General features: G+C 49.2%; 1 protein-coding gene across 1 annotated transcript, besides 2 other annotated features; it reads left to right on the top strand.

The window, feature by feature from the left end:
* Positions 3935-3984: a silencer, noted in NCBI's record as "silent region_16448". NCBI's record gives its function as "represses an Ori minimal core promoter by ATAC-STARR-seq in GM12878 lymphoblastoid cells {active_cell/tissue: GM12878}" and the evidence as "EXISTENCE:reporter gene assay evidence [ECO:0000049][PMID:35858748]".
* Positions 4025-4304: a silencer, noted in NCBI's record as "silent region_16447". NCBI's record gives its function as "represses an Ori minimal core promoter by ATAC-STARR-seq in GM12878 lymphoblastoid cells {active_cell/tissue: GM12878}" and the evidence as "EXISTENCE:reporter gene assay evidence [ECO:0000049][PMID:35858748]".
* Positions 4219-17979, top strand: HBEGF (heparin binding EGF like growth factor). The gene is made up of 6 exons (NM_001945.3): positions 4219-4539; positions 4738-4911; positions 8010-8187; positions 14795-14950; positions 16074-16164; positions 16542-17979. Exons 1-5 carry the CDS (start codon positions 4494-4496, stop codon positions 16144-16146), a joined length of 627 nt encoding a protein of 208 aa, NP_001936.1. The 5' UTR covers positions 4219-4493; the 3' UTR covers positions 16147-16164; positions 16542-17979.
* Positions 17980-19465: the final 1486 nt, after the last annotated feature.

Raw genomic sequence — 19465 nt, 5'->3', positions numbered from 1 at the left:
ATAGATCCTAGCCCCAAACAATCAGACAGCAGAGCCTGTTCATCCCTGAATATGCATGAAGCACGCTACTTCCAGGTGCCCAGCCAGCATAAGAAGGTACACGGGGGCTCCAAAGGGCAGGCCTGAATTCTAATCTAATCCAGCTGTATGCCCAAACTGTTTGATTAACTGTCTCAGATGGGGTGAGAGAAGCCAGCCTGGGCCAAGAAGCAATGACCCCTCATCCTGACATTCCAAGTTTGGGTAACTCTGGGCTCATGGTCAGACCTACCCTTAATGGAGGTGCCCTTCTTTACCCCTCTCCCCAACGCAGCAGAGTTCAAGGGCTGTGCAGGATTCACTTCTGGTCAGAGGGGAATGAGAAGGCAGCTGAATCCTCTCCCCCAGGGGGCACAGCTTCCCTCTGACCTCTGAGCCTGAGTTGCTTTTTTGGGTTGAGGTTTCCAAAACTCTGGGTGGCCTTGCAGATCTAGCATCTCTTTGATAAGCATGGCCATCTCCCAGAAAGGAACACTTCATCTCTGAGGATGGCTAGCTCATGATAAACCAACATTTTATTCAAGTTCCCACTTAAAAAGAAAAAGGAAAGAAAGCAAGAAAAAAATTTGGTCATAATAACCGCTGTCATTGAGTAAGTACCTACTATGTGCCAGGCATCATATTCCGCTTTATACACATGATCTGACTGAATCATCACAAAAGCCCTATAATAATAACTACTATTATTGTCCCCACTTTTCAGGTGAGCAAACTGTAGGTAAGAGAAATTGAATAACATGTTCAAAGTTAGAAAGAAAAAAAAACCAACAAAATTTGAACCCCCAAGTATCTGACTCCCAAGACTGTATCCATTTCATTAGCTGCCCTGCTGTGCTTACCTAAGCATCCTTCCAGTCTAGTGAGCCAGAGTTTCTTATTATCCCTCAGAACAGATGAAGGACTGAAACTCAGTAAAACTGATAATGTTACCCTCCACAGAAGCATAGAGATGGCGGCTGTCGTCTCATCCATTTGAGTGTTGAGCTTAGGAGAGCACAAGCCCAAGTGAACGAGGGGGTTTCAAATTGAGGCTGAGACACTCACTAGCTGGGTGACCTTGGGATGTTACCTTTTAAAGCTTCAATCCTTTAAAATGCAGATGATGATAACAGTGTCTAGTTTGGGGGATGTTGTGAGGATCAAGCAAGATAATGCATGTGCAGTGTTGATTACAGGGGAATTGTCACCACTAGCACCGCTTTCTTCCAGGTCCTCCCCACTGGGGAGCAAGTGCTCTCTCCAAATCAAGAACTCTGGCCTAGCAGTGAGTCAGCAGCACTCAGAGTCCCATGGAGCCTGCCTTTCCAGAGGCCCAGGAAACTCGCATGGGCTGGGAAGCAGGATGCCAGGGTTTCTGCTCTGCACTTGCCCCCTTCTGACTCACTGGTGGCCCAGGGCTAATCAGTCTCCAAGCCTCAGTTTGCTCATGGTCAATAGACAGTCAATAAAAGCAGGCTTGTCTGTCTGAACTCTACTTCCTTAGGACTATGTTCCTGGCATTTGACAACCTGACATCCAGAGAGCAGGTGGGGGAGACCTGAGCAGGAGGAGGGGACAATATGGAGGAATCCTGCATGACAGTGCTGTCTCATTGACATCTCATATGATTCTGACAATAATGGGGCATAAAATCCAGTGTCTACCTTGGCTTATAACGTCCTCTTTTATCTGTTGCTAGCCTTTGTTCCAATATCATCCCATATCTCTCCTTTTTTGGCCCTCTTGCTTTTCCTTGAATGCTCCCAACTTTTTTCCATTTCAGAGTCTTTGCACTATTTGCACATCTTGGAATGCTTTTGTCATAGATGATCCCAAATCTGATTTCTTCTTCTCATTCAGGCCTCAGCTTACATGTCACCTGCTCAGAGAAGGCTTTGCTAATCAGTTTAAAGTGTCATCCTGGGCACTGGAACATATTATCCTACAGCACATCATTGTATTTTAACTTTCATCTTAGCAGTTATCACTATAGGATATGTTTTTCCTTGTTTATTTCCTTAATGTGCTGCCTGTCTACTATAGAATATAAGCTCTGTGAAAGCAGGTCCTGGGCTGTCTTATTTATTTCTATGTCCCCAGTGCCCCCCAAAAATGTTCAGTTAATGTTTATGATATAATTGAGTTAATGAGATTGCCTCAGCATGAATTGTGATTCCTTTTCTTTGCTCAGAGACATCCAAGATTCTGAGAGGGGAAGTGACTGTCCCAAATCCAATTCAAGCTTTTTATCTTCTTTTTTCAGGCCCTTCCTGTAAAACCTGGCTGACACACAAACCTAGCTGGGGTGAGGCTCCAGGTGTGATGAAAGTTTGGAGTTGCCCCATGAATGGGACTGAGGCTGATGTGGGGGTGAGAAGGCGGAAGGACAGAGCATGTGAAGGGAGAAAGGCAGGCTGGGGCAAGAGAGCAGGGTGTGACTCTGGCGAGGGTGGGGGAAAGGGGGTGATTTGACCATGTGTCAGGAAGTGTTTCTCTCCACCCTCCCCTGGGGAGAGCCTTGACCCCAAGGTGGCTTTGTTTTGGGGAAGCAGGTGGCCAGGCAGCTGCTGAGGGAGGGCAAAGTCATGGCTTGGGCGGTGACCATGCACTGAGGTCCTAGGCCCGATACTCATCACCCAAAAGGATAATCTAACAGTGGCTCTTAGCCAAATAGGTGACAGGTGAGCTTCTGTCTGAAACCAGCCCAACTATATCATAAAGCCTCAGATATGGCCTAGGGGAAGGCAAGCGATCTAGAGAAGTGAGAGAAAAGAGGCCTCTAAGGAAATAGAGTGGTCAAGTGCTTAGTGATTATTATTAACAGCAACAATAATAATGGGTCACATTTATTGAGAGCTTATAGTGTGCCTGGCACTATACTAACTACTTTTATGTGTTCCCGCATTCATTTCTCAAAAAGCTCCCTACAAAGTAGTCATTATTATTATTGTTATTATTTTTTCCATTTGAGAGACGTCAAAACTGAGGCTCAGTGAAATTAAGTTTCTTGTCCAAGGTCACACAGTAAGTAGCAAAGGCAGGATTCAAACTCAGGTCTGTAGTGATTCCAGTGCACTATGGAAACCTAGGCCTAGGTTACTGGAGCAAGTTAAGAGGGCAGGGCCAGACTGACCCCTGCAAAGGTGGGGATAGGGAGGGACAGTGGGATAGACTGTGTATAAATAGCAGGCCTGTTTTTATCCCTACACACAGGCAGAATCCGGCAAGTGCTCTATCTGGCACAATTTCAGGGCTCTGAAAGCCAACCCAGCCCTGTGTCAAACAACTCTCTCCCCAGCACGTCCCTGGAAACTGAAATACCTACTGAGACACTCATTTCTTTGGGTCAGGACAGTGACTCCAGAAGACCCCTGCAAAAGCACATGGGTTGGAAGAGAAACACCTAGTGTCTGTGAAACAGCAATCTAGGTTAGCCAGCTGGGTCCTATGGGAGGGTGGCTCATTTTTTATGTTGAGGAAAAAGGTGGCAGTCAAAGGCAAGGAAAAGAATAAGGCTTGTTTCACAACCTGTGTCTCTCCAATCTCAGAAGCCTGGGAATTACAACCCATAGTTCAAAAATCCTAATGTCCCCTGAGGGAAGATGGGAGGAAGCCACTCCAGAGACTAAGAGAGTACTAACTTCCTTTGCTTTTGCTGGATTGATACTAAGTGCCTGCAACTTCAACTCTGGTTATCTCGGGTTTATGAGAACGGCTGGCATTCACGTGTCTAATTTTTAAATGATAGATGAATTAATTATTATTTGATACTTGCCGTGTTGGTAGGCCAAAAGGTGGGCTTCTGAAACTTAGAGGGTGACAGGGATGGAGACCCCTGGTATGGGGCTTAGATGAAGCAAGAGGCCAGGCCCGGAACAGAACTCAGCTCAGCAGTCAGTCACAAGGCTGCAGAGTGACAGGCGTTTGGGGAAAGGTAGGAACCGCTCTCCGCCACCTGCCGGTCAGTAGCCCTACCCACAATCAGGCCGCGGCTGCCTCGGCCTGGTCCCAAAAATTGTGAACGCCGCCCTCTCCTCCCGCCCAGTCCTCCGCCGCGCCCGCGGGGTCGGGGGCTGCGCTGCCGGCGCCGCGAGCCGGGCGAGCTTCCCAGCACGGGAGGAGGGAGGGGGCGGCGCCGGGCGGGGCGGAGCTTCCGCGCCTCCTGGAGCCTTATTCCCGGCCGCGAGCCGGGCAGCGCTCATTCGGCCGAAGGAGCTACGCGGGCCACGCTGCTGGCTGGCCTGACCTAGGCGCGCGGGGTCGGGCGGCCGCGCGGGCGGGCTGAGTGAGCAAGACAAGACACTCAAGAAGAGCGAGCTGCGCCTGGGTCCCGGCCAGGCTTGCACGCAGAGGCGGGCGGCAGACGGTGCCCGGCGGAATCTCCTGAGCTCCGCCGCCCAGCTCTGGTGCCAGCGCCCAGTGGCCGCCGCTTCGAAAGTGACTGGTGCCTCGCCGCCTCCTCTCGGTGCGGGACCATGAAGCTGCTGCCGTCGGTGGTGCTGAAGCTCTTTCTGGCTGCAGGTAAGAGGGCTGCCGACGCCCCCGGAGATCGGGGGGATGGGGGCGTTGTGCTGGGGGCATGGGGGAAGGTCGCCGCAGCGCACCCGGCACGGGCCACTTGGTGGGGCCCTTGCGCTCTGGCGGACGGGCGTCGGCATCGGTGCGTGTTGGTCAGGGGTCTGGGCGGGTGTCTGATGCGGCCTGGCCTCTCGCCCGCAGTTCTCTCGGCACTGGTGACTGGCGAGAGCCTGGAGCGGCTTCGGAGAGGGCTAGCTGCTGGAACCAGCAACCCGGACCCTCCCACTGTATCCACGGACCAGCTGCTACCCCTAGGAGGCGGCCGGGACCGGAAAGTCCGTGACTTGCAAGAGGCAGATCTGGACCTTTTGAGAGGTGGGTGTGGAGGCCCCCCATCCTTGGACCTTGGTGGGCTGTTGAAGAATAAGCAGATCCAAGATTCTTGCTGTTTGGGCAATACTGTGGGTTGAGGGTATTCATGGAGAACCTCGGGGAAAAGCTGATCGGCCTGATGGGCACTGGGGGATCCTGGAATATAGGTCCCACTCTCTCTCTCTTGTCATTGCCTCACCTGCTGGGTTGCTGCCCTTCTGGGTACTCCGGGGCAAATTGAATCAGACGTGTTGTCTGGGGTTGTTACGTTCTTCTTAGGTAAGCTGGGTGATAGGAACAAGGAATGGTTGAGATGCTTTCCCTAGAGCTACTATGTAAAAATGGGCGCCAGTTCTAATTCCCATATCAAATGACTATTATATATAAAATAGAGGTAACACATGCGGAGATGCCCAGGCACATCTCTAGAAAGTGTGCAGTGTTGGCCTCCTCCATCCACCTGTCTCCAGATTGGGGAAACAGAGGGGAATGAGGAGCTCTTGGCCGCCCTAGATGAGGCTGTGAATGGTGAGCACTGAGCCCCTAGGGGGCTGTATTAAAATGCTGGATATCTGTGAATGCTACCGGAAACCTGCAGCTTACTGAGCACCTTGCATTCCTGAGGAGACTCCAAATGGGGAGGGCTGTGTAGGATCCTCCAACCAGCCTCTTTGGCTGTGGCCAAGTACAGGTACAGGGCAGAGTCCAGAGCCTGCCAGCTCTCCTGCCTCCAAACCTGAGGAGATTATCCAGAGTAGAGCAAGGACTCAGCACTGTACCCTGGAATGACTATATTTGGTTGGACAGATGCCCACCTGTTCTAGTTCCACCTGCTCCTCAGCTGCCCTTCTCCCTCATTCCCAGGAGCTTTCCTTGGATACTCTCTCTACTTTGTATAAATCAAGCACATACTCCAAAACTGAGCCTGGGCTCCCATACTTCATCCTCTCCCAGTGGCCCTCTGGGGTTGCCCATGACCTGAACAGCCTGGATTCTCCTGGCCCTCTCCTCCTAGGCTGGGCAGGGCTGGGCTGTGACTCACCCCACCCCCACCCCCCACCCACACGGCTGCTCCTCTTACCTCTGCAGACCTGACTCACTGCTCCCTGTCCATGGCAGGAGCCTGGCTGTCACCCTGCACCTTCTCCCTCCCCTTTCTGATTGGCTTGGCCCCCCTGCCTTGCTCTCCCCGAAGCTCTGGTCACTGGGTTCCTCTGACCACCTGTATCACCTTCTGAGCTCTGAGGGGGCCTGGGACTGGATGAGAGGAAATGAAAGACTGTGGGGGCTGCTGGCACCTACTTCTCTTCCCTTCTTTTGGCTTTGCTGGGCAAGGACTATTTTTCAGGTCTGGGGATCCTACCACCTAAAATAAATGACTGCTACCATTTATTAAATTCCTACTGTGTTCTAGGCACTTGATATGTTATCCTGGCTAATGTAACACTTATAGCAACCTTTTGAGATAGTTACTTTGGCTATCCACATTTTACTGAGAACCTGAGGTTCAGAGGAGTTAAGTGACTGCCCACAGTAAATAGCTGAAATTGGAGCACAGGTCTATGGACTTCAGAGCCCATTCATGCCTGGATCAGCATCTCAGGTGCTCTAGACTTGTGAGAGGGAGGAGATGGGAGTGTGTGAGGCAGCTTGGTGTGGTGAGGAAGGACATTGGAGTGAAGTCCAGAGAACACAGTTCTAATCCCAATCCTGCATGACCTTGAGTAAGTCACTCTGCCTGCCATGAGTTTTTTCTTTTTTTCTTTTTTTTTTTTTTAAACATAGTCTCACTCTGTCACCCAGGCTGGAGTGCAATGGCACGATCTCAGCTCACTGCAATCTCTGCCTCCCAGGTTCAAGTGATTCTCCTGCCTCAGCCTCCTGAGTAGCTGCGATAACAGGCACACACCACCACGCCCGGCTAATTTTTGTATTTTTTGTAGAGATGAGATTTTTGCCATGTTGGCAAGGCTGGTCTCGAACTCCCGACCTCAGGTGATCCACCTGCCTCAGCCTCCCAAAGTGTTGGGATTACAGGCGTGAGCCACCGTGCCTGGCCACATGGTATTCTTTGAAGTCCCTCTAGCTTGAGACTCTAAGTCTCTAGTCTAACGTATCATGCTTACCCTTCTGTAAGACACATGGCTGTAGCCATGGATGTGGGCACCTTTTTCCTGATGGGGGATAAAAGGGTGGGATTGGGCTGATAGGCATAGTCCCTGGTCAATCCCAGCTGGATATCTGGGTGAGGCTGTTTTTCCCCCAGTCTCTCTGAAGCATGGAAAGAAGGAGGGAGTCATCATTGTTCCAGTTCCTTCTGGACAGTTCCTTACTTTCCATTTTTCTATCCCTTGTACACCCTGTACCCCCCAATCCAGAGAGCTATAAACAGGACATTGGGGGTTAAATATGAATGAATCTTTGAGAAAGTGGGTGAGCTGTAAAGGGTATGCAAGTTAAATATTTTGCTTGAAGTTGAAAAAGCAAGGCCGTGACCAGGGCTGGCCTGCTTGCTGTTCCTGAGCCAGGCTCTGCCCTGGGCTCATAGTACTAAGGGGTGCCCCAGAAGAGACCACCTGAACACATGGACACTGTTCTTATATTAGGAGCCCTCCAACCCCAGAACCTCCAAGTACCTTCTCTAGAAGCAATTTTTGTGTGTGACACTGTCTTTCTGCAAGTGGTTCACTGAGTACAGCATCAGGAAATGAGGCTGATTGAAGGCCAAAATAGAATGAAGTGGGTGTGGGGGAGTAGGAGATGGGGGTGTAAGGTGGACAGTGGGGTGGAGGTGAGGTTGGTAGAATTGCCCAGTTACTCAACAAAAGCATTCTGAGAATGAGGCTCTTACACAGAGACTGTGAAATGCCTTCCTTGGGACCCACCCTAGCTTCTACTTCCTACCGAGGTTCCCTCTTTCTGGTGGTTCTGCCCAATCTTCCTGCTCTTCCTTCTGCCTCTTAGGAGGCACTGAGCTAAGGGGCCTTCCCAGATCTCTGACTTCAGGTGGAATCAAAGCATATATACTCCTTTCAAGCACTATGCTCTTCTGATTTTCTTCCCAAAGAGTCAGACTTTAACAGAGTGCTTTTCTCCTACAGTCACTTTATCCTCCAAGCCACAAGCACTGGCCACACCAAACAAGGAGGAGCACGGGAAAAGAAAGAAGAAAGGCAAGGGGCTAGGGAAGAAGAGGGACCCATGTCTTCGGAAATACAAGGACTTCTGCATCCATGGAGAATGCAAATATGTGAAGGAGCTCCGGGCTCCCTCCTGCATGTAAGTGCCCCTTCCCCAGGGCTGAATCTCATCAGCACACTTTGTCAGCCACGTGGCTGTTCCTCGTTGTCACTGTTCCTTGAATTCATAATTTCACCCAGTTTCTTCTCAACCTCTGGGCGGAAGTTGGGAGGAGGGGAAATATATTTTTAGTCAGCGGAAGCCCCCTCCCCCCTATAGGATGCAATTTCCTGTGGTATGGTTTTGTGACGTGCTTTAATCCTTGGGGACATTTCCTGCTTGCCCAGAAATGAGCATGTGGCTAGGACAGCTGGCACCTGAAGGCAGGCCCTTAATTCTTGCCTGATGCCCTACTCTGGGAGGGAGAAGCCAGTAGGAAACATGGCAGAGTGGGCTTCCAGGGCAGAGTAGAGCTCCTGTGGGAAGGTAGGAAGTGCATTTGGATGCATGATGTATAGGTATGTGTGTATTTGGGTTTATGTGCATGTAAGTGTGCAAATGTGGATTGACTGTGAGGCATGGCAGGACTGTACAGAGAGGGATCATCATGGCGGCAGGTTGAGGCCTCTCTTTCTTCTTCCTTATCCCAGCAAGGACGAGGAGGTGGGAGACATGGAGAGTACTGGCCTTTGGCCACGTTGTGAGAGAACAATTCCTTTGTGCAGGGTTCACAGGAAATGGAACCTGACCCATTAGGCATCAGCCCCCGGTCAGGCAACATCACCCCTTCCCTGGGTAGGTGTGTGGGTGGAGGGGCTGTGGGTTCCTTAGCCTCTCTCCTAAGCCAAACCCAGCAAACGGCTGCCTTGGCAACCCCTCAGGGATGACAGCACTGCCATGCTCTCTGGCAGGCATAATGTTGCCACTGTGCCTGAGGCCAACACCCTGCGTCAGGCTGCAAACATCCATTCCCTTCCCTGTGGGGAGGGAGGCTCTGGGGGCCTTAGTGGGAGACTCTGGACAGGGCCAAGAGACTGTTGTATGCACACTGCCTCCAGCCTGTCAAGAAGGCGGCGTGCCTGGCATCCCTTCTACTGGTGATTGGTGCAGATCCCTTAGCTTTTTAAAGCTTCCTTGTTTTGTCTGATCACACACAGCAGAGCTGCCCTGTATTTGGCAGTTGGCAGACAGACCCATCACTCCCCACCATGTCCACAGTCACTTGTGCATCCTTTCCTATAACATCCTTGTCAGGAGCTTGGTATTAGAGGGAGTTGTTTAAGAGTGGCATAGAAAGCCCCCATATTATCCTTCCCAAGGTCTTGGGACAGGGTGGGAAATGTTCATCTTAAATTTGTAAAATGGCATCATTAGTACAGGGTGAAGAAGGTGACTCAAGTAGTCAAGGTGGATTGAGGTCAGGAATCTGTCTATACCAGATTGGTCCTGGGCATTTTGGTGGATGGATGTGGGGCTTGCACTGTGTGGTTGAGAGGCCTTATAAGGTTGCCCTCCTGGAGAGCTGGACTCGGATGACCACCTAAACCCAGAGAACCTGATATGGGTGCCCAGGCCACCTTCCCAGTGGTCCCTAGGGATAGTGATAACTATAATGATGTCATATCTCCTTTGTCCCAGAGTTTCAGTGTTTATATATAATATGAGTTGAGCCCAAGTATGTTGAGCCCCTATTTGGTGGCAGACACTACTTTAGGAGCTGGAGAGATATAGTTTCCTGGGATTTTTCAAAAGCCCTCTGCTGAGTAGGCAGGACTTGGTACCTCTACTTGAAAGGTGATGAAACTGGAGCCAGAAAATAGGAAGTAATTTGCCTGAGGTCAATAGCTAAATAAGTAGTTGGAAATAAGACAGAGTCTCAGTACCTGACTCCTAGTCCAACATGCTTTTCATGCCCTCAAGCTGTACTGGGTGTTGGCTTTCATCTTTCTTTCCTGTATCTGTCCTTATAGAGTTGGAGCAGCATTTTATAGAGGGCAGAGGGCAGCTGTTGTCCTAGAGGTCTCTTATTCTTTTACTAGTCTAACAGCACAGCAATCTGATTTGAAAACTTTACATTAACTTCTTGGGCAGAATTTTCTTTTTCTTTGTTCTTTTCTTTCTTTCTTTCTTTTTTTTTTTTTTTTTTTTTTTGAGACAGAGTCTCACTCTGTCTCCCATGCTGGGGTGCAGTGGTGTGATCTCAGCTCACTGCAACCTCTGCCTCCTGGGTTCAAGCAATTCTCCTGCCTCAGCCTCCTAAGTGGCTGGGACTACAGGCACCTGCCACCATGCCGAATTAATAATTTTTATATTTTTAGTAGAGACGTAGTTTTGCCGTGTTGGCCAGGCTGGTCTTGAACTCTTGACCTCAGGTGATCCGCCTGCCTCAGCCTCCCAAAGTGCTGGGATTACAGGCATGAGCCACCATATCTAGCCTTTTTTTTTTTTGAGATGGAATCTCGCTCTGTCACCCAGGCTGGAGTGCAGTGACACAATCTCGGCTCTCTGCAGCCTCCGCCTCCCAGATTAAAGTGATTTTCCTGCTTCAGCCTCCTGAGCAGCTGGTATTACAGGCACATGCCCCCACATCTGGCTAATTTTTAAATTTTTGTGGAGATGGGGTTTCACCATGTTGGCCAGGCTGGTCTTGAACTCCTAACCTCAAGTAATCAGCCTGCCTTGGACTCCCAAAGTGCTGGGATTACAGGCGTGGGCCACCACTTCCTGGGCAGATTTTCAGGGGGTTGATTGCATGTCTGGACTGGCCCCCTACTGCCTCCTGCCCTTGCTACTCAGGGCAGAAAGCAGCAAGAAGACAGAAATCCTGGTTTGGGGGAATGTGACATCTGTGCACGTTCATCTGGGGATCTTTGTGGCTCTTGTTTGACTCCAGACCCAGGAACCACTAGCCAGGGTGTGTCCAGGCTGCTGTGGTGAGCCTGAGGCTAGCTGGCTTCCTAAACTAGCCCTCTGCAGCCACCATGAACAGGAAAACCCTTTTTGTGTCACCAGCCAAAAGTTGCCCTCAAAGAGTAGTTTCTGCTGGGCACAGTGGCTCACACCTGTAATCACAGCACTTTGGGAGGCCGAGGCACGTGGGTCGCCTGAGGTCAGGAGTTCGAGACCAGCCTGGCCAACATAGAGAAACCCCCGTCTCTACTAAAAATACAAAAATTAGCTGGGTGTTGTGGCGGGCGCCTGTAATCTCAGCTACTAGAGAGGCTGAGGCAGGAGAATCTCTCAAACCCAGGAGGCAGAACTTGCAGTGAGCCGAGATAGTGCCATTGCACTCCAGCCTAGGCAACAAGAGCAAAACTCCATCTCAAAAAAATAATAATAATAAATAAATAAAAGAGTAGTTTCCTGGGATTCCTGACTAGTTGCCTACCCAGAAATTGGCTGCAGAGTTTCCTGTGGCTGGAGGAAAACTGGGGACACTTGGGCTGAGGAGGACTCAGAGCTGGAGGAGAGACAGGCTAGGGGGCTCTACTTGGCCTCACTGCCCAGGTGCTAAGAAGGAATGGTGATCCCGCTTCTCTTGTCTCCATCTGACTTGGGTGCCCCATTCCTCAGGCCATGGGCAGTAACCTCTGGAGTCTGATTATGTAATAACTCACACAATGTGGGACTTGGCCTTTATAAAGCCCTTTCATTTGTATTACCTCATTTTATCTTTTCACAATACTCTAGTGAAGTAGGCATTTCTTATCCCTGTGTTTTACATGAGGAAACCAATGTTTAGAAAGGTAACGTGACTTGCCCAAAATTACCTGGCTAGAAATAGCAGCAGAACCAGTCTGGAACTCATGCACTCAGTCTCCTCCATCCAGACGTGTCCCCTCCACCTCCTGGGGTAAAGGTGGAGAAATCCAGTTTGGAAGATGTCTCTGGACCCTAGAGGGTTCTTGCATCTGTTGTAATACAAGTTCTGAAATGGGTCACAGACGTGGGTGGGAAGAATGTGTCCTAGTCTGGTGGGTGGCTGGCTCTGGACAAGACACAAAATTTTGCCCCTACCCTGGGATGCTTGGAATGTACTCATCCCCCCTCCTTCTCTGGGGAAGCCAGGAGTTGTCTGCAAAGGGAGGGGGAGGTAGGTAATATTAGGATGTTTACATTATTATCCTTTTGACTCAGGGTGGGGGTGGAGGGATTATGTAACTGAATTGCGGGACTCTGAGGCCAAACTTTATTTCTATCTTCTGAGTAACTACCTGTGGAGTTTGAATGATGGACTGGAAGTGAAAAACAGACTCAACTTCAGCTTCCCTCCTCCCAGGAAAGCAAAGTCTCTGAAGTCATCCAGACTGCTGTTGAATCCTGGCTCTACGACTCACTAGCTTTGTAACCTTGGGCGAGGTGTTTAACAAAAGCTAAGCCTCAGTCCATCTTTAAAATGGGGCTAGTAACTTCTCCTTCACAGAGCTGGCTTTAAATGAAATAATTCTTGTAAAGCAGTTAGCACAAAGTACTTGGCTCATGGTAAGCCTTCAATGATTGCTAATTATTATTCTTTATTATTCAAGTTATGAGTAATAAATAATAATAACATAGTCAGAGAGAAGGGTCAGACTGCCCCCCAGGAGCCTATCAGATATGCTTCCTTGGAGTTACCTGCGCTATCCTGCATTGTTCAAAGTGGAAGGAATGATGAATTTGGAATCTGCCAAGACTTGTTCCTAGTCTTAGCCCTGCTGCTTCCTAGTTGTGCCACTTTTGGTGAATCACTTAATTTCTCTGACCCTTAATCTTAGCTTTTCCATCTGTAATATGGGGTTGTACCTGCCTACCAGAATGTTAGGAGGCTCAGTTGAGCTAGTAGATAAGGCTAGTGGCTTGTGAATGGTAAACTGCTGTGCACAAGTGATTTTCCAGGGGTGCTTGTGCAAGTGTCCTCTATGTCCTGGCAGGATAGGGGTCGCTTTTAGGCCTACATGGGCTGATGGGACAGATACATGGAGAGGCTGGGCAAGGAACTGTGGACTGTGCTATACGTATAGTGGGCCTGACCTACATTTATCCTGCTGTGAGGTGGTTTCTCGAAGTACCCAGGAGGAACTAGGGCAGGGAGAGGCTCAGGGCAGGAAAGCAAGAATGCAGTACCACCCAGCCTGGCCCCTCTGCCACTGCTGGTTGTGGACAAGTCTGTCTCTTGGAGCTTCCCTGGTGCTCTGTCCGCAGGAAGAAGGGATTCCTTGTTCTGAGGTACCAGAGAAAGCACCTCCTTCCCAGAGAAAGCACAGCTCAGAAAAGAGGGCCACCAGGTTCTTGGTGCTTCCTTCAGCAGCTGGTGGTCTAAAGTCCTCAGGCAGACAGTGCCACTGTGCCCCCTGGCTGGATGGTAGGCAGTTGTCAGGTGTGAGTGGGCAGCACACTGAGCTCAGAGTCAGACAATCTACATCTACATCTTCATTTCTGTCTTACTGTGTGACCTTGGGAAAACCACTCCACCTTTCTGTAAAACAGGGCTCCTACTTATATCAAAGGATCTCTGGGATGCTCAGATAAAGGAAAGGATGTGAATGTGCTTCTTCAACTGTAAGCACGTCTGAGTCTTTCTAAGAGCTTCAAGGAAATGCTTTGTGTTAGAAAAGGCAGTTGCCAGCCCGGTGTGGTGGCTCATGCCTGTAATCCTTGCACATTGGGAGGCAGAGGCGGGTGGATCACCTGAGGTCAGGAGTTTGAGACCAGCCTAGTTAACATGGTGAAACTCCGTCTCTTCTAAAAAATTACAAAAATTAGCTGGGCGTGGTGGCGGGCACCTGTAATCCCAGCTACTTGGGAGGCTGGGGCAGGAGAATCACTTGAATCCGGAGGTAGGGGTTGCAGTGAGCCAAGATTGCGCCACTGCACTCCAGCCTGGGAGACAGAGCAAGACTCTGTCTCAAAAAAAAAAAAAAAAAAAGAAAAAGAAAAAGAAAAGGCAGTTGCCATGTGATTTATTTCTTGAGTGAGAAGAGCCAAGGGATTGTTTCTGACAGTCTTCCATGCTCTGGCAGGGCAGCTGGGCAGAAAGATGTTTCTTGATTTGTTTGGTTTGTCCTGTGATGAAAGAGGCCTGGTAGCTCAGCGTGCAGAGGCCAAAGGCCAGAGTTGAGCTCCCAAGTTGGGCCCTGCACCCAGGGGGAGCTGGAGTTAAATGAAGGAAACTTGAGAAAAACGACTCCTGGCAGAGGCACAGGGCCTATTAATAGGCTGGACAGCAGTGGAGAGGGACTGGACGCTGGAAGCACGATGGGGAAGGCTGGGTTTATTTCTGGGTCAGAATGTTGAGGGGCCTCACTGGAGGGAGTGATACGAATTCCCTCAATTTAGCCTACCAGCTCTTGTGCCCAAGCCCTCATAAGTGGCTTAAACAGAACGCCTGAACACACATGTCATAAATCAGCCACACGTGGAACATATCTAGCTGAGGCCTTCAAGTCCTCCCTTGCTTTTTCCATGCCTAGAACAGGATTCTCAGCCCAGAGAACCAGAGGAAATGGAAAAGGGGAGGGTGTCAAGTGAGAGAGGAATGCTACAGAGCTTTCAGAGGGGCTTTAAAGAGTTTTCTACTAGAGGAGAAGGATGGAGGATGGGCAGGGATCGTGGTCAGGGATTGACAGGCTGAGGGTATGAGGAATGGGGTTTGGCTTATGCAGGTGGGCCATTGCCAAGAGAGGCCAAAGCACTAACTCCATCTCCTTCTTGTTCTGTCTTGAACTAGCTGCCACCCGGGTTACCATGGAGAGAGGTGTCATGGGCTGAGCCTCCCAGTGGAAAATCGCTTATATACCTATGACCACACAACCATCCTGGCCGTGGTGGCTGTGGTGCTGTCATCTGTCTGTCTGCTGGTCATCGTGGGGCTTCTCATGTTTAGGTGAGTGTTGGGGTCCCCTGCAGGCTGTTTCTGCAAATCACTCCCTTTCTTCCTCCTCCTGGGCCCTCTCCTTGATGGTCACATGCACTTCCCTCAATCTTTCCAAATCATGGGCTAGCTCCGGGGTGTAGATTCTCCAAAAACCTGGTATTTCTGGCATGACATGAGTCCTGTGTCTAGAGCCCAGGGTCAAATTTGCGAGGCCATAGCAGGTTCTGCTCCTCACAGGAGTTCTTTTCCTGCCTCCATGACCCAGCTACCCACTCATGGAGTCACTTTGTCACACATTTCTTTCTCCTGGCTGTTCTTTGATGGCATTAGTATGTGGTTTGGTAGTCAAGGTGTGGGTGGTGCTAGTGGTATATCCTTCCACTTCTGAGGCGTCTGGACCTCAGGCCCTGCTTTCTAATCCAGGTATGCTCTAGCTTGGGAGACCCACCAAGCACTCTATGCCTGTTTTCTTTCTTTCTTTTTTTTTTTTTTTTTTTGAGACAGAGTCTTGCTCTGTCGCCCAGGCTGGAGTGCAGTGGTGTGATCTCGGCTCACTGCAAACTCCGCCTCCTGGGTTCACGCCATTCTCCTGCCTCAGCCTCCTGAGTAGCTGGGACTACAGGCACCCGCCACCACACCCAGCTAATTTTTTCTATTTTTTAGTAGAGACGGGGTTTCACCATGTTAGCCAGGATGGTCTCGATCTCCTGACCTCGTGATCTGCCCGCCTCGGCCTCCCAAAGTGCTGGGATTACAGGCATGAGCCACCGTGCCTAGCTCTATGCCTGTTTTCAAGCAGTGTAACTCATCTGTCATGAGACCTGGAACAAGTTACTGTCTTTCTGAGGATTGTAACCTTGTAGTGATTGTAATGTTTGTCCATCTACCTCATAAGGATGTTGTGAGGATCACGTAAATGAGGTGAAAGCTATTTGTAAATTGCATCCTGCTATTAGAGACAGGAGTTCCTCGGGGCAGTTGGGCCTTTGACCAGAGTTTGGGCTGCCCTACTGCCTGGGCTTTTCCAAGTAGTAGAGGAAACCACCATGGCAGAGTTCTTTGGAAGGACCTGCTCTGGACCTGCACTTTGTCATAGCAGGCAGGGCTTATTCACAAAACTTATCTTCCTCAGGTACCATAGGAGAGGAGGTTATGATGTGGAAAATGAAGAGAAAGTGAAGTTGGGCATGACTAATTCCCACTGAGAGAGACTTGTGCTCAAGGTAACGCTCCATCCTTTGCCCCATGACATGATTATCCTTTGTCCCCTTTCCTGGCTGTGCTTCAGTGGGTGCTGAATTCTTCATATAGGGGTTGGGGGCCAGGCTACTGTGACATTAATATCCCATTGCAGAATTATTTTCAAAAAGACTCAGTGCTTCACTTAAGGTAAAAGTTGCTAGAGAGACACCTAAGAGAGATGCCTGAGAGGACAGCTTCTCCCACCCTCATCCCCTCCCTTCCCCTCCCCTCTCCTCCCCTGGGAGACAGAGTGAAACCCTGTCTCAAAAAGTTTAAAAATAAAAAAGACTGGACCAGGAAAATCTTAAGACTTCTTTAGACTGGACCTGGCTTTACATGCCTTCCTTTTGTGCTTTAGGAATCGGCTGGGGACTGCTACCTCTGAGAAGACACAAGGTGATTTCAGACTGCAGAGGGGAAAGACTTCCATCTAGTCACAAAGACTCCTTCGTCCCCAGTTGCCGTCTAGGATTGGGCCTCCCATAATTGCTTTGCCAAAATACCAGAGCCTTCAAGTGCCAAACAGAGTATGTCCGATGGTATCTGGGTAAGAAGAAAGCAAAAGCAAGGGACCTTCATGCCCTTCTGATTCCCCTCCACCAAACCCCACTTCCCCTCATAAGTTTGTTTAAACACTTATCTTCTGGATTAGAATGCCGGTTAAATTCCATATGCTCCAGGATCTTTGACTGAAAAAAAAAAAGAAGAAGAAGAAGGAGAGCAAGAAGGAAAGATTTGTGAACTGGAAGAAAGCAACAAAGATTGAGAAGCCATGTACTCAAGTACCACCAAGGGATCTGCCATTGGGACCCTCCAGTGCTGGATTTGATGAGTTAACTGTGAAATACCACAAGCCTGAGAACTGAATTTTGGGACTTCTACCCAGATGGAAAAATAACAACTATTTTTGTTGTTGTTGTTTGTAAATGCCTCTTAAATTATATATTTATTTTATTCTATGTATGTTAATTTATTTAGTTTTTAACAATCTAACAATAATATTTCAAGTGCCTAGACTGTTACTTTGGCAATTTCCTGGCCCTCCACTCCTCATCCCCACAATCTGGCTTAGTGCCACCCACCTTTGCCACAAAGCTAGGATGGTTCTGTGACCCATCTGTAGTAATTTATTGTCTGTCTACATTTCTGCAGATCTTCCGTGGTCAGAGTGCCACTGCGGGAGCTCTGTATGGTCAGGATGTAGGGGTTAACTTGGTCAGAGCCACTCTATGAGTTGGACTTCAGTCTTGCCTAGGCGATTTTGTCTACCATTTGTGTTTTGAAAGCCCAAGGTGCTGATGTCAAAGTGTAACAGATATCAGTGTCTCCCCGTGTCCTCTCCCTGCCAAGTCTCAGAAGAGGTTGGGCTTCCATGCCTGTAGCTTTCCTGGTCCCTCACCCCCATGGCCCCAGGCCCACAGCGTGGGAACTCACTTTCCCTTGTGTCAAGACATTTCTCTAACTCCTGCCATTCTTCTGGTGCTACTCCATGCAGGGGTCAGTGCAGCAGAGGACAGTCTGGAGAAGGTATTAGCAAAGCAAAAGGCTGAGAAGGAACAGGGAACATTGGAGCTGACTGTTCTTGGTAACTGATTACCTGCCAATTGCTACCGAGAAGGTTGGAGGTGGGGAAGGCTTTGTATAATCCCACCCACCTCACCAAAACGATGAAGTTATGCTGTCATGGTCCTTTCTGGAAGTTTCTGGTGCCATTTCTGAACTGTTACAACTTGTATTTCCAAACCTGGTTCATATTTATACTTTGCAATCCAAATAAAGATAACCCTTATTCCATAGCCTTTTGTCTGTTTGTTTTAACCGGGAACTGGTTTAACTTAGTTATTTCCTAAGCCCTGACTTGGTGGTAGGCTCTATACCAGGCCTATTTATGTATACTACCACAACAATTCTGCGATGCAGGTACTATTACTGTCCCATTTTTCCAGAAGGGGAAACTGAGGCTCAAAGTGGTTGTGTAACTTGCCTGAGGATACACAGCTAGTAAATGACAGAGCTGGGACTAGTAGTCTGGCTCCAATTATTTTGTCTTAGTACTTATACCATGCTATCTCTGAGATAAGAAAGAACAGATCTTTCGCACAGCATGTTTAGCTGGCTGTAATCAGGGAAGATATCCACCCATTCAGTCAACAGGCCCTGGACTCAGGATCTACTCCTATGCTGCACATATGAGCAGGCATTGCTTCTGGCAAGAACAAGATGTCTTTGACTACCCTATCTTGCTCCACAGCCAATCCATCAGCAAATCTTGTCAGCCCTACCTTTAGAATACATGCTGTATGCAACCACTTCTCATCACTGCCACTACCATCACCCAGTCCAATTTCGCATCATCTCATGCCTGCACTTTTGTGATGGCCTCTGCCTTTCTAGTTCCATCTTGCTTCCATATAACATATTTCCAGTGTAATAGCCAGAGTGATCATGTCTTTCAGATCTTGTCTGCTCTGCAGGCCTTCCCTGACCACCGTATTAAACAACAGCACATTCCTTCTCCCATCCTACTCTTACTCTTCTTACATTGCTTTTTATCACCACTAACATATTCCTATTTGTTTATAGTCCATCTCCTCCTATGAAAATGTTAGCTCCATGAGGGTAGGGGTGTGTACATTGCTCCTCTCCTAGATTCTAAGACAATGCAATTGAGTGGTAGGCACTCAATATTTGTTACCTGGATGAATGAATGTAGGAAATACAATTCAGTCCAATGCCAGCAAGTGGACAGACATGCAATCCAATGCTGCCCTGAAAGTGTGATTGGATTAGAGAGGGGTCTCTGTTGGGGAATGTGGATGGTGGTGACAAAATGAAAGTGGAATTTGGGGCATGTCATGTGTCCTGGTGGATTGGACAGTCCATCAAGTGGACTGGGGCAGTGCAGTAGCACTGGACAAGTGCCACTGGGCTGCCCCTTCCTCATCCTCTTCCCTTGCAGAGTTGTGATATTCTGAAGTTTCTCCAGGAGCCCACACGGAGATCTTGTATATACTTGGAACATCCTTTCAAGACTTTAGGCACTAGTAACTATTGAAGCTGAACATATGCATACCCCAGGAGTAATTCCACTTCTGGGGATTCAAGAGAAATGAGTGCATATGTTCACCAGAAGATATGCACAAGAGGCTGGGCACTCTGGCTCAAGCCTGTAATCCCAGCACTTTAGGTGGCTGAGACAGGTGGATCATGAGGTCAGGAGTTCGAGACCAGCCTGGCCAGCATGGTGAGACCCCGTCTCTATTAAAAATACAAAAACTTAGC

Source organism: Homo sapiens, chromosome 5 (genome assembly GCF_000001405.40).
Source record: "Homo sapiens chromosome 5, GRCh38.p14 Primary Assembly".
Taxonomy (NCBI): domain Eukaryota; kingdom Metazoa; phylum Chordata; class Mammalia; order Primates; family Hominidae; genus Homo; species Homo sapiens.
Note: the sequence above shows the minus strand (reverse complement) of the source record. Positions and strands in the feature narration are given on the sequence as shown.